Source organism: Homo sapiens, chromosome 8 (genome assembly GCF_000001405.40).
Source record: "Homo sapiens chromosome 8, GRCh38.p14 Primary Assembly".
NCBI classification, from domain to species: Eukaryota; Metazoa; Chordata; class Mammalia; order Primates; family Hominidae; genus Homo; species Homo sapiens.
The window spans coordinates 114,663,090-114,679,722 of NC_000008.11; positions in this window are offsets into that span (position 1 = coordinate 114,663,090).

Below are 16,633 nucleotides of genomic sequence, written 5' to 3' on the forward strand. Positions count from 1 at the left end.
CACACTTAGAAATAATGCTTTACCAGCTATTTAGGTATCCCTTAGTCCACTCAGACTGATACCCAAAATTAACCAGCACACTGTCTCACAGAGTTGCTATGCAAACATTAAACATGCTGTCTTACATGTCTTACTTTAGTGCATACAGAATAGTCACTAAATGTTAGCTGTTATTATTTTATTTGTAATAAAATTTAAATGACGCAAAAGAAAATTAATGCATTCTAGACATGGTATAAAATGTTTTCTGAGAAGACGTAACACTACTGAAATGTTAGTGCAAATAATTATTTTTCTATAAGGTGGTTCCTATACCCATATGAGATAAGGTATAGTATGTTAAATGACAGTTTTCTTGGTGCATTTAAAACACCTTCTAAAACAAATGTTTTCTGTCTGTGATAATTTTTCATCACATAGAATGATTGTAGAGTGTTTCCTTAATCCTCTACAAAAGTCTCTTAAAAAATAAAACTTCTTGACTGGATGTCGTGGCTCATGCCTGTAATTTCAGCACCTTGAGAGGCCAAAATGGGAAAATTGCTTGAGCCAGGGAGTTCCAGACCAGCCTGTGTAACATAGTGCAACTCCATATCTAAAAAGAAAAAAAATTAGCTGGGCATGGTGGTGTGTTCCTGCAGTCCCAGTTATACAGGAGGCTGAGGTGAGAGGATCACCTGAGCTCAGGAGATTGAGGCTGCAGTTAACTGTGATTACACCACTGCACTCCCGCCTATGACAGAGCAAGACCCTATCTCAAGAAAAACTGTGCGACCCTATTGAAAAAAATATGTATATACATATATTTTAATAAAAATTATATACACACATATTTTAATACAAGTTATATATATATATATATATATGTTTTCAAATATACCATTTTTTTTGCAGAGGCCAAGTAGATAATACTTTGGCCTTTAAACACTCTTTTGCTCTTGTTTGATTTTCCTAAAGGTGATGAATGTCTATTTCTTCATAAGTATACTGAACCACTTCACATTCAACTACCTAAGCAGGGAGGCAGATACATGTATCTCAGAAGCCCCATCTGCCGTGTTTTCTTTAAATTTCAAGCTTCAAACACCAAATAGAAATGCATTTAGACCCAACAATGGTGGGAGCAGAAGTAACATGGCTTATGGAAGGCAAAATTACAACAGAAATCATAATACAATTGTACCCTCTTCTAAAAGATATAGTGCAATATTACTGCCAAGAAGCAATGCGTCTTTATTAAAGGTGAAGAAGCAAAGTGTACCTTTCACATAATCAACATATGATACACATTCACCTTAGAAGGAAACTATATATGCAAATACATAGCATATTTCATAATCATAGATAATCATTGTAGATTTGTAAAGGTTGTTGCCTTTAATTGATGCAACTTTAATGTAGCACTGATGTGTCTAGAAGGGCTGATAGAACATTTCTAGATATATATATATGTATCATATATATGTATCATATATATATATGAATACACACACACACATAAAGGTGAAGAAGCAAAGTGTACCTTTGCTTCTTCATATATTTATATGTGAATTTAATTGGTTTCACAAGTTTTCCCCATGTCATATTAGGCCAATTACATACATAATTGAGGCCTGATGTCCTCATTTATAAAGTGAAGATAAGGATCCCTCTTGTAATTACCAGAATTTTTGTACAAAGAGCTAATCATTCTATTCAAACATTCCAAGTAATATGGGCAGACTTTGAGGGCAGAGATTGCTGAAGAGTGTTTAGTTATTGAAACATAGTACATTTTCCTATTTTACAGTGAGGAAGCTGCATCTGGCCATGTCAAATTCATGCAAGTAGTTAGCACTATTTTACAAATGCTGTCTACTTTTAAAACGTGAGACAAAATTCTTGACTAAGAGCATCTACATGTTTGCCATATAAAAAAATTGTCAGAAAAAAAACAAATGTTTGTGCAATGAGAAGATTTTCCCAAAGTGGGGATGTAAGTTACATTTTCCAAAAACAATTCATGTAGCTATTTTATTATAACAATAATTTAGTTCTCACTGAACCGGCTCTGGTGGAATAAATTTTGTTCTCAAGTCCACCATAACTTTGTCTAACTGAAGAATAATTTTGCCAAAATAAACATGTCAGTAAAATTTCAAATATTTCACATTCATATGTAATAACCAACTATTAATCATTCATTAAAAACAATTCACAAATCATACGTCAGATGAAAGTTGCAAAAGTTTCCACATGAGGTAAATTAGCTGACATTGTCTAACGATAATCTGCTCTCAACAAAACTACAATCATTACGTAGATGTAAGCATTTTAATAGAAATTTAAGATACCTCTTGGGCAATAGCAAGACAGACATAGCGTTCTAAACTATGAAGAATTATAGTAAAATAGAATGCCTTTCTTAGCTAAAGCTCCAATATGGTGATATCATCCAATAGGTCTATTATGGAGCAAAACAATATTCTTCCTTGATAAGTCAATGAAAAACTCTTGCCCTGCATTGCCAGATAATAGTAAATATATGGTCAGAAGGAAGCTTAAAATTGTAGATGGTGAGAAAATATATTCATGTTCACCTATAGCATTTATTAAAATCATTAGCATAGCTGCAATGGCAAGTTTAGGAAAGTGATAAAGATGATTTAAATTGCTTAACCTTGCATAGGTTAAATAATAACCTTTCTTTGTACATTTTCATCCTTTCTGAGATTCAATACACCTTGTAAAAATATATCATTTTCTCAAGGGCCTTAAGTATATGCCAATCTCAGTGATAGAATGAGAAAAAAAAACCATGTTTTCAAGTAACAATACATTAAAAAGAGATAAGTAAGTACATATGGAATATATTGCAGCCTAAAAAAAAACAAAAACATTTTTGGAGTATAAAAACATATTGTAAAATGATTTTTTACTTCCTGTCAGAAAAGAGGAAAGCAAACTCAAGTGCTTTTTAAAAAATTTTTAATGTTGCAAGCTATTAAAGTGTCACATATCTGTAGGAGAAATAGAAGATATTATAAAATAAACTTGCTAGCATTTATTAAATCATTGGGTTATCAAGAAAATATGAAAAAAAATTTTCAAAATGTTAGGTGCATTTATTGATTAGAAAGGGATAGACAGGACTCTTGTCATTTTCTCTGACATTTTAATTAACAAAAATGTATTTTATTGATTAATGCATTATTTTTAAAAGGCAAATATTGAGTTCATACTACATAAAAGTATTTTCTTTAAATATTTTTAGCACGGAGCAGAAGTGATTTTTACTTTGGTTCTCATATATCTTCTTTTCCCTTCGTTGAATCATTTTTAATGAAATTCTAGGAAATATTCAGGATAAAATTCTAGTCATATAATTTAGTCAATATAAACAGGAATCAAATTTGTTGCAAAAATATCTTCCAGGAATACATACATCATTTTTTACTCTCCATTACAAAAGTCTTTTCTGAAATACATAGAATCAAATATTTTAGGAAATAATATTCTAGTTGAATGTAGAAGCTGTATTACTCATATCATACATGAATATAAGAAACAAATAAAAATATACGAGAAAATATCATTTGAAAATGAACATTTTTGGAGGAATTTTCACATTGATCAACATGAACAGAAATACAGTATTTAGTATTTAGATGTGTTCTAGATACGCAGCACAAACACTGACATAGACACACATTCATATGTCCAAGAAGAGCTACAGGATGGGTAGGGGTTACCTACCTAGCATTGTGATAGAGATAGATGGCTTCATGAAAAGAAAGCTGCATGTACAAAGATTTTGTTATAGAAAAATTTCTGGAAAATTCAAGGAACTACAGAATGGCACTGAGTAAAATAGTGTGCCTAGATTTTTCAAATTCATGAATAATACAGAAAAAGGCAGAATTATACATCTATCTATAGCTGTGGAAAATGATATTAGACAAGTTTATGGAATATACCTATTGCCCAATACAGATTACATGCCCAATGCAGCCACTCTGTAAGAGGGAAGTTTGTGAAACTTAGGTAAGCTAGGATCAAGTTTAGATTACACAGCCCTTAGGGAAAACAGAAGACCCAAATCATTAACGAAACTGTAAGTTTTACGGGAAGGCACATATAAAATAGAAGTAAGAATGTGTCTCAAAAGCAAGTCTATAAATGGAGAAAAATTTTATATAAACTACTAAAGTATAGAAAGGTGAAACTGTTATCTCCAAAGGGAAAAAAATAATAATTATTATCAGGCTTACCTAATATTTTGAAGTCTAAGTAACCTTTATTGACCATTCTGTTGAAAAAAATGAACACTCCTTGATTCTGTATATAGTCTACTTTTAAAACATGAATGGTAGAAATATAAGAAACTATCAGACAATAAAAATGGGAAAAACAGGGACCTACGCAGGTAAGAAGAGCATTACGACCAGCTTTTCCTACTGGGAACATTTGACAACATGATGAACATGAGCTTAGAGTCTCATGTACTCACTAGGAATGGGACAGAGAATACTAGCCTAGTCCTTTGAAATTTTCTGTTTGTCTTTCATAGTTGTACCATGATATGTTTAGATAAGGATAACTGTATGTTTATCCTACTTGGCTGTTTCTTTAAAAGTCAAATCATGATAATAACACCATCTTCTTGAAGTTGTTGAATAGACTAAATGAGATTATATATATATGGAATTATGAAAAGGTCAATTATATAATATATTTCAATCAGGGATATAGAGAATATTAATAAATATGTTCTATTTAAGTCTCATAACTTGTTGACCACTTTATTTATTTATTATTATTATTTGTTTTTGAGATGGAGTCTCACTCTGTCACCCAGGCTGGAGTGCGGTGGCACGATCTTGGCTCACTGCAAGCTCCGCCTCCCAGGTTCATGCCATTCTCCTGCCTCAGCCTCCCGAGTAGCTGGGACTATAGGCCCTCGTCACCACGCCCGGCTAATTTTTTGTATTTTTAGTGGAGACGGGGTTTCACCATGTTGGCCAGGATGGTCTCGATCTTCTAACCTCATGATCCACCTGCCTTGGCCTCCCAAAGTGCTGGGATTACAGGCGTAAGCCACCACGCCTGGCCTGTTGACCACTTTAGACTAGGAGCTGTGTGTTATTTCTAGCCTGTTCAACACTTATTTTTGCCAAAATTTCTATATCATTATATTGCCAAAACAGGTGAATTTAAATAATTGGCACCAACTAGAAGCAAAATTGATTCTAGATTGGAGCTGACCAAACTCATAAAATAAGTTTACATTATTTGAACTGTTAGGTTTTAGTCAAAATGTTGTTTCAACTTAATGTAAATTGTAGCAAATTAGTCAGAGTCTAAGAGTATTTGGTTTACCGTAGACAAGTGCATTCAAAGATTTGATTTATTGAATCCTGGGCTCCATTGCTCACTTCTGTAATCCCAGCACTTTGAGAGGTCAAAGATGGAAGATGGCTTGAGGGCAACATTTTGAAACCTGGGAAATATAGTGAAACTCTATCTCTACAAAAAATTAAAAAACGTAGCCAACTATTGTGGTGTGCACCTGTAGTTCAGCTACTTGGGAGGCTTGGATGGGAGGATTGCTTGAGTCCAGTAGTTGGAGGCTTCAGTGAGTGAGCTGTGATTGCACCACTGCACTCCACCCTGTGTGACAGAGTGAGACCCTATCTCTGAAAAAAAAAAAAACAATAAAACAAACAAAAAATACATTTAATTTATTGAGGCATACTTTAAAGTTTCCAGATAATATAGTTTACAATTCTAACACTGATTAAAATTCTTATCTAATGAACTAATATTATTAAATAATTTAATATGAGTAATTTATTTCCTGAAAGAGTGTATGAAATATCTGTCACCATAATTTTGGTTATCTGTGCAATACTATATAATATTATAGCAAAAATTATAGGCTATATGAAGAAGCCTGTAATTCTATGTACCTTATATTAGTTTTCTTATTTATTTTCACAGCATCCTTTTTCTATGTAGCAATGAGTTGCTTTTTTTTTGCCTTTTTAAAGATGGAAGTCACAGCAAAATGGGAAATTAACTTGCCTATTAATTCATGCAACATGACAACTGCAGAGCAATGTCTAGAGTAAGACAATAGTATGTCTTATTCTTCTTCAGAAAATATTCTTATATGTCATATTTAGTTAAAATATCATGTATCATATCATATGTTTATGTAAGCCAAAAATGAAATTCTAAGCCCCGTCCTCAACAATTGAACAGACTCCTTCTCTCGGCCAAAAGAATTTGAAAGAAAACTAATCAAATAGCTCAGGTCATAATGGGAAGATGGCATTGGACACAACTCATTATATTCTCTTCCCTTTGGAATTCAGGCACCAATGACCAAAATTAATGTGAAAAAAGAGATCTTAAGACTAATATAACAAACTCTTTGTAGCAATAAGATACCAAATTCTAATTTGACTTTTTCTATTGATTCCAGGTCGTTAGGTAATAACTCCTTCAACCAATTGCCACTCAGAAAATATTTGAATCCACCTATAACCCACCCACATCAAGTCTTCCCTCCTTTCCAGACTGAACCAATGTTTACCTCACATGTGTTGATTGATGTTTTATGTCTCCCTAAAACATATAAAACCAAGCTGTAACTCAACCACTCAGGACACATGTTCTCAGGATCTCTTGAGACTGTGCCTTTGGCCTTGGTTACTCATTTTCGGCTCAGAATAAACCTCTTTAAATATTTTACAAAGTTTGTTTTTTTCATTTTCATCAACATTAATAGTATTTTAGTTTAGGGAATATTGCTATTATTCAAGCAACTAGCAGTGGAAGTCAGAATATTGTCATGAAATTATAACTTACTAAATACTATAATGAAGACAATCTTCTAATTCATCAACACGTCTTCAGAAATTTCTTATTCTCCTGTACTACATTGGATGCTACAGATCAGAGACTCTCAGCCTTGACACTATTGGCATTATACAGTGAATGAGTCTTTGTTTGGGGGGCATGTTCTGAGCTCTTGAAAATGTGTAGCACCATCTTGTACTTCTACCTACTAGAGACGAGCAGCATCCCCTTCCCAGTTGTAACATAGAAAATATCTCCAGACATTGACAACATCACATCCTTTTGAGAATTATGGCTGCTGAAGTAAGCAATAATTGTGGATAAGACAAATTAGGTTTCTGACCAACATTTAATGGGAAACACAATTAAATGAAAAATAAATAAACTGGAACAATACTCATTGTTCTAAATCATTTAAAGTTACTAAATGGGATAAAGTCATATGTAATGGAAGAGACCATATTCAGGGAATAGTTCTTGAAAAGGTTGCTCTTGAGTTAAAATTTAAGGGCTGAAAAGACGCTATATATGTGAAGAGATTAATAAAGTGTCAGTGTCTTTCCGATTTAAAAACATGCCTAAATCTGCCCACAAAGCCATACAAGACTTTCCAAAGAAGGCTTTATATTTAAGATAGAGACATTATGAATTTGTATGTTAGCAAGTTGAAGAAAGGCTACCCAGCCCCTGCCCTAATGGAATGGAAATGGTAGTTGGATTATTACTATTTTCTGGGGGCAGTTCTAAGTACCCCAATTCTCACAGGGTAACAACACTTGGAGAGCCAGGTACACAGATTGCTCTGGGTTACATTACAAAGGAGGGACCCAAGCTTTAAAAAATGCAAACTTTGATAATGGCAATAAACATGTCTGCCCGACTTTTACCCTACAGGGAGGACTAATTTTTATCATGCTGGAGCATAAATAAGCCTGCCCTTTGCTCTAGAGGATGACTATATCTATCTCCCAAGGCTGTCGACTACACAAACATTCTTGAATAGATGGTGAGCAAAAAAAACGTAGTGAAGAGACTCATGGGAAATTGTCTTAGAGCACATAGGAAAGGTGTTATGGATTAAATTGTGTCCTAAAATTCCTGTGTTGGAGCCCTAACCCCGAATATAACTATATTTGGAGATAGGGCCTTTAAATAGCTACTAAGATGACATGAGGTCAGAATAGTGGGGCCCTAAACCATTATGATTGTTTTCTTCTAAGAAGTGGGAGAAACACCAAGGAAATGTGCTCACAGAGAAAAGGCATGTGAGAACACAATGATATGAAGCTGTCTGAAAAACAAGGAGAGAAGCTGAAGAGAAAATCAAACCTGCTACAACCTTCGTCTTGGAATTCCAACCTCTAGACCTGTGGGAAAATAAATTTCTTTTGTTTGACCCATTCAATCTGTGGTAGTTTGTTATGACAGCCTATGCTGACTAATGCAAGTAGTAATCACAGGTGGAAGCTTAAAATCTAGATTACATATAATATAATGACAGAGTCATCAGAGAGACAAACTAAATAAAAACATGAGCAGTACATAGGAGCATTTAGATGTCAAAATTTTTAAAATGTCTGAGATCTTGCCCACTTAGGCTGACAAGTTATTGAGTTACAGTTTAGCAGATGCTGGTAGAATACTTGTGATTCTGACTGGGTCTGAAATGAAGGACAGTTTATTAGTCACACCAACAGCAGTACCCAGATTATCACCGTTTTTCTCCTGGTTCTCTGAGCTCTAGTTCTCATAGGACAATACAAATGAAGCCAGATGACACATGGACATGAAGTAATTTACATGGCAGGAAAAGAAATCTGAGCTAAGCTGACTTGAATCATTTTTAATGCCCAGTAAGCATACTGCTCCTTTGCTCCAGCAAAAGACTATCTTCTAAGGATGTTAGCTCACCTGACCTTTACATCAGAGGAAAAATCAGTATCTCTATCTTCCTTCTCTGCTATACGAACATCCTTGAAAAGATAGTTTACAATTTAAGAGGTCAGTGCCTTCTTTGCAACATGTATAGAAACAGTATTGAACAACAGGGAATTATCTTCCAGCATTCAGAAGAAATCAGAAAATGAACCATCACATTTTGTTTTTAATTTTACTTTAAGTTCTGGGATACATGTGCAGAACTTGCAGGTTTGTTACATAGGTATATATGTGCCATGGTGGTTTGCTGCACTTATCAACCTGTCATCTAGGCTTTAAGCTCCTCATGCTTTAAGCTCCTCATGCATTTGTTCTAATGCTCTCCCTCTCCTTTCCCTCCACCCACCAACAGGGCCCGGTGTGTGAGGTTCCCCTCCTTGTATCCATGTGTTCTTATTGTTCAGCTCCAATTTATGTGTGAGAACATGCAGTGTTTGGTTATCTGGTCCTGTGTTAGTTTGCTGAGAATAATAGAACAATCACTTTTTTTTGTTTTTTTTTTTGAGACAGAGTCTTGCTCTGTCGCCCAGGCTGGAGTGTAGTGGCGTGATCTCAGCTTACTGCAACCTCTGCTTCCCAGGTTTAAGTGATTCTCCTGTCTCAGCCTCACGCCCTGCTAATTTTTGTATTTTTAGTAGAGACAGGGTTTCACCATATTGGTCAGGCTGTTCTCAAACTCCTGACCTCAGGTGACTCACCCACCTCGACCTCCCAAAGTGCTGGGATTACAGGCCTGAGCCACTGTGCATGGCCAGAACCATCACATTTTTATTTGAGAAACACCTTGCATCTTTTTTCCCTTGATAGATGTCATCTAAAATGTTTAATATGTGGGTGCCTATAAAATAAAATTTGAGAAGAAACAAGATAATGGGCCCTACTGCAAAAATATTTATTTCACTATTCACGGTTAATACTTAAAATGCTATCATTGCATTTCAGTGATTGTGAAGAGTATTGTTTCAATGCCAAAGCATTCTTTTTGGGAAACAAATAATCCTGGGAAAGATAACACATTGTAACCAACATTTTGTGAAGTAAATTTAGCTAAATGATTACTTTTCTTGAAATAGAGACACTGGATAGTTGTAGGAAATCCTTTAAGGTGGGAAGATATAAGAAGAAATTGTAGGTGTCAAAGAAATTTTAAAGAATATTTATATTAGGACCATCTGTCTTGTGCTTATGTTGCAATAAGTTTCTATGTGTAGAATTATACCCTCTAACATGTGCTAATGTTCTCTATTAAACATGTATAGAACTGCTTTTATAATGCCTTTTAATTTTCCAAAAGTTCATTCTTAAATGGATTTTACATTTAGAAAAAAAATTATTGGTAGTCATCTCCTTGGATAATTACATTTAGTGTATTGAAGTGACTCCACAAAATTCTGCATCAAGGCTTAAAAACTAATAAACATAGGGACTTGCAAATCCACTCTGAGTATATATACATATATATGTTTGTGTGTATATATATATATATGTATGTATAATACATACACATATACATACATATAATACATATAGTGCTAGTCTGTAAGGAGACTTTTCTGTTTCATATGCATCTGAATAACTGAAGGCAGTATATCAGTGTCAACTGTGTGGTACAAAAAGTTAATTCTAAAACTATGTGGAAGCAGACAACTGTAAATAGAAGTAAACAGAAAATGCCTTCTTTAAATAAAGAGCTTCTTTGTAATGGATGCAGAGAATTTGGACATGTAAAATTGGTAAAGGTATAGCTAGCTGCAAATAAGACCATAGAAATGCTTAAAGACAAGAATGTTGTTATTGACTCAATTATGCCCCCACCCACAACCCATTAGTGTATTGAATCTTTAACCTCCAATGTGACTATAATTGAAGAAGGTCATTAACATTAAATCTAGTTATAAAAGTGGGGCCCTAGTTCAACAGGACCAGTGTCCTTAAAAGAAGAAGAGACACAGGATCTCTCTCTCTCTTTGTCTCTCTCTCTCCCTTTCTCTCATTCTGTGCACATAGAATAAAGGGTATGTGAAAACACCTGTGAGAAGGCAGCCACCTGCAAACCAGAAGGAGAGGCATCACCAGAAACCAACCCTGCAGTCGTCTTGATCTTGGACTTTCATATTCCAGAACTGTGAGAAAATAAATTTTGATTGTTTAAGCTATCCAGTCCTAGGGTATTTTTTTTTTTTTATGAGCAGACAAATGTATAAGGCATGTTTCAAGACAGTGGATATGCAGTTTAAGTAAGATAGAAATTGGGTACAAGTGGCCTTTTGTAACATGACAGAAATTTAATATATTTTGTGAATAAACAAATGTGCAAGCTGTTTATGTATTTGCACTTAGGAAACAGAGGCAGAATAAAAAAATTACTAAAATTTATAGTGTGATGGACACCTGCCTTAAGAGAAGAATAGAGACAGTAAAGAAGAAGGGAAGGATGGAAAGAAAATGAGAGAAGGCCAGGTGCAGTGGCTCATGCCTGTAATCTCAGCACTTTGGAAGTCCAAGGCGGGTGGATCACGAGGACAGGAGTTCGAGACCAGCCTGGCCAACATGGTGAAACCCCGTCTCTACTAAAAATACAAAAATTAGCCAGACATGGTGGAGCATGCCTGTAGTCCCACCTACTCTGGAGACTGAGGCAGAATAATCACTTGAACCTGGAAGGCAGAGGTTTCAGTGAGCCGAGATCACACCACTGCACTCCAGCCTAGGTGACAGAGAGAAACTCCATCTCAAAAAAAAAAAAAAAAAAAAAAGAAAATGAGATAAAACAGGAACTGATTTTTTTATGCAAGCAAGGAAGAAATCAAATGTAAATCTATGTTTTAAGTCCTAATAGAACAGTGGATAGTGACATTGAATTCAAGTGTGGGAGTCCGTTATAGTGGAAAGAAAATATTTGAGTTGGAAAGAAAGATTTGAGATGACAATTGGATCGGTAAGGGAGAAAGACTGGGTGATTGTTGTTGATGTAAACCTGGAAATAGAGGGAGATAGCAGAAAGAGAGTGATTTAGTAATTATCTACATAGAGATGCTCATTGAAGCAATCAGATTTGATTTCCATCTTGAAGGAAGATATTCTTGTTGAGTTAGAGAACACAAAGTTCCTTCATTACAGAGCAAATAGCTAAAATTCATTTAACTGGATTAAATTATATATTTTAGTAGTTTCTGTTATGCTTATCCCTGCCCATCTAGTATAAAATCCTGCTCTTCAGCTAATGTTAAGCAAATCTAAGTGTAGCTTAGATCCATCAATTGATGGTATCCAGAATTTTTCAGTAATTTAGGACAGAATACTAGATATTGACATATCTAATAAATATCACTGTTTTCTTTAATATTTCCCTAGTTTATATGACTGGATTTATGAATTAGTCCATGGTTCAACTGCAAGCCACCAGACCTCAAGATCTGCTCTGAAACCAGGGATTTAAGACATTTAAGATAATAGATTGTTAAAATTGCAGGGCCGGACACAATGGCTCATGCCTGTAATCCCGGCACTTTGAGAGGCCTAAGTAGGCGGATCACTTGAGGCCAGGAGTTCAAGACCAGCCTAGGCAACAAGGTGAAACCCCATCTCTACTAAAAAGAAAAAATTCAAAAATCAGCCAGACATGTTGGTGGGTGCCTGTAATCCCAGCTACTCTAGAGGCTGAGGCAGGAGAATCGCTAAAACCAGGAGGCAGAGGTTGCAGTGAGCTAAGATTACGTGACTGCATGACTGCATGCTAGCCTGGGTGACAGAGCGAGACTCTATCTCAAAAAAAAAAAGAAAAGAAAAATCCAATAAATCAAAATATAATTGCTATAGTATTTAAAGTCAGTAAATTAATGACTTTTATTTGTAATAAATATAACTGTTTAATTCAGAAACATAATATACAAAACATTATTTTTAAGTTTAATGAAATAACACATATTTAAATAGTAAAATGATTGGCATAAAATAGTAGCAGTAGTTGTAGGAGTAATTGCCAATGTTAATAGAGTGGTTGCTATTCTAGATGCTTTAAGAATATAATTTTGTTAGTCCTCCAATCATTCATAATATATAATATTATTCATTCTATTTTACAGATGAGAACTTTAAGGGAATTTAGGTAACTTGAACAAAATCCAGATTTCGTGCCATTGTAGACTGGATCCAAGGGACATACACTAAACCATTAGAAATATACAATGAAGTAGCATTTACACATACTGATTTAAATATTTCCGCAGCCTATAATTTTAAAGGGCCCCACAATTTACCTTTCTTATCTTAATAAGAACTAGGGTTATGTTACCTTTATGTGAGACATACTAGTAGAATCAGCAGTTAAAATGTATTTCGTGCACATAGTATGAATTCCATGAATTTAATATTTTTGATCCTTTGAATGTTCTAAATTAGAAAAATCTTCCAGGCATTGTGACACATACAAATATGAGCCATTCATCCTTAAGGTTTTCTTTGGATGGGAGTTGGTGTAAAACAGGTAAAACATTGAGACTTCTGAAATTGATTGCTATAATTCTCCCATGAAAATAAACCAAAGGAAATCTCAAAATGTTAACTATATACTGGTTTTAGTTTTTAAAAAATTTACAAGGTTTTCCATAAAAACCAGTAATTGAGCTAATAAAAGTTATGTAGCTATTAATAATGAGCCAGTCAATGGAAGGTAAACCCTTGGCTCTTATGAAACATCATGTCAATTGATAACTTGAGGCCCAAACTTACAACAGAATCTCCTAAAAGAAAGAACAGTGGCCTGCAAAGATGAAACATTAATAATATTTAGTTAAGTCTCATTTATGCCAGAGAAAAAATATCTTGACTTGGATTATTTTTACCTAGGCCAACAGTGGTAGAATGGGGGATTATACAACTTAGTGCCATTTCTATCCCATATTTTTGTAAATAATAAATTTATTCATATTCATCATGGTTATATTTATAAGGAGAAATATTATATTTCCCCTTTGTCTCCAAAATTACCTATCAAAATTTATTTCTATCATTTTTTTCATTTTAAGTTTTCACAGGTGTTGTCACCCATACAATTTTTCCACCCCAGCTCTCTTTCTCTTCTCTATTTCCAGTATCAAAACATTCCTCTTCTTTATAAAAAAAAAAAAAAACACTTTTCATGCAAGACAATTGATCTACAAATAATTGCATTTGAACCTGAAATTGTCTAAGCGAAACAACCCCTCAATAATCATGATGCTATCTCTACTAAGAATTCTTAAACAAGCTACCAATGGAAAAATACATGCACAGTTGACTCTTTATATCTGTGAGTCTCACATCAGTTGATTCAACTAATGGTGAAATTAAAATACTAGAATATAAATTTCTATAAAGTTTTGAAAAGCAAACCTTGAATTTGCCATGCATCAAATACTATGTTGAATCCACAATATTGGAATGATGTATAGGCACTGAATTCAGTATTACAAGTAATTTAGAGATGATTTAAAATATTCAGGAAGTGTGGAGGTTATATCTAAATTCTGTGCCATTTTATGAGGGACTTGAGCATTTGCAGAATTTGATATCTGTTGAGGGGGTCTGAAATCAATGCACCATGAATACTGAGGAACAACTGTACGTATATGGATGTATTAAATTACTGCATTTAATTAGTGCAGAAGCCACATCACAATTTCATCTTACAAATGAGGAAGTTAAGTGACTTTCTCAAAGCATAAACATGGTAGTTACACAGCTGGCATGCAAAGCTAGGCTTTCAGACTAAAAGTTTCTTATGCTTCTCACTGTTTCTAAGTATTTTCAATATAAACATAATATATAAATTCAATATAAACATATTTGTCATCATTTAATATTTATAATATTAAGAAATCTCCTTTTAGTGCTTATGAAGTAGTAGAGAGCACACAAACAGTCCTCCATTTTAAGTAATAGTGCATTTCTTCTGACCAAGAGCTAAGATAAATCACCATGGGATTAAGTGTTAACTATGTATAAGCCAAACATTGATTGTGCATATTCTCTCCACCTATAAATAATATTAAATGCATAGCTATACTTTAGAAAAGTATACAGAAATATATATTCTTCTCTTGAAAGAAGACTGTATATTTTACCAAAAGAGAAGAACAAATTTTTGAGAAACATGAATGAATATTTTTAGACAACTGGAAGATGTGCCCCTATCACTTAAAGTCAGGGAAATTGCATTAGATAAAACTTTGTATTGCAAACTAACATGCAATGCCAATTAGTTCAGTCAAAAGGGAAAATGTATTGGTAGAACTAGGGAATTTCACATAACTGCTATACTGTTCAGTTGACTGTCATGGCTCACTGGAACTTCAAAAACTTTGCTCTCTCCATCTCTCATCTCTTCTTTCTCACTAATTCTCTCAGATCACCTTCCTGTGCCTAATTGGAAACGTGACAACCTGCAGAGTTTATATCTTAAGGCTTTACAATAGTGACAGACACCCTGCTTAGTTTAGCTTGAAAATTGTCAGCCCAAATTCTGATTTCCCAAGAGATCACCACCTTTAAATCAGGCAGACATTAAGAAAAAGCCAGGGTCACAAAGCACACAAATGACTACTGAGGTTCCAGGCCTGAGTATCAGAAAAATTACATTCATGATAGAACAGGAAGTGCAGGCATGCATAACAATTCTAATTCTCTTTTTAAAGAAGGAATGAAATGATGGTGATAAAGGGAGGTTTTTTTAAATATAGTGAAGAGAAGTGGACATGAAGACTAAGTGTGATGTTCAATTATATATAGATGCATTCCAGCCATCTTGGTTTGGAGGTTGGTTAGGAAGTGAATATTTGTGAGGAAACTAGCACAAGAAATGCATTATCTCCTGGAGTTATAAAATCAACTGATCACTCCTTGCAATTTCCTCACACCACATTGGTCAGATTCCTAATACATACTATGGAACTCAGTCCTATCAACAGCACTCTCAACAGTAAAAGTTATTATAATTGCAATTGAATCAGAGCTTTGTGATTAATCACCCTAAAATTTAGAAGAGAATTCAGTATGAATCACGATAGTATCTCTGTTCGAATCACAAACACTAGAAGGCAACGTAACGAGAAGAAGCTACAAATGTTTAGCAAAGATGGAGTTAAGTATCTTGGTCCTACATAAAACAAAGTTAGCTAACAGGAATAACTCAAGCCCTCAAATGAATATCAACATGTTGAACTAGAAGAGTCATTAGCTTTCCCACATGCATCAGAGTTATGCCAAAACCTAAGAGTATGTCTGTCTCATTATTCTTCCATCTCCTTTGCTTTCTCTCACACTCCTACTTGCTTGCCAACATTTTCAACTAATGCTTCTAACTGTCTTACTTCCTCATAGGCTAAAAATGTAATAAGATACTAAAAAATATGGTTCTTTCTTTAGTAAGTTATTGGGTAGAGCAGGGTTTGATATTCTCATTCAGCTGTTTATAGCCAGGATTATGAAAGTCACTTTTGGCACTAAACTGAAGGCATGATGAATGGGGCAATGAGCAAGCAAAACAGAAAAGCAATTTCTCCCATATGAAGACTTTGCTATTTTAGTCATAAATAGCCTAGCTAAAGTTATACCACATATTACGGAAATGAAGATTGAATTAGTGAAAATGTTTGGTTTCAATATTTCAATTTTTCACTATTATTATCTTTTATTTATTTGAGGACTGATGATGGGTAATTGGCTTTATACAAGCTATTAGAGAAGACAGAGTTCCTCCCCTAACAGTTTCTTATTAAAAGTGCACAAATTCAGGAAACAAGACATGGTTTACTTTATTAAGTGATTAGTTATTTTTTCCCCAGAGGTGAGACATTTTACTGCTAATTTTTCC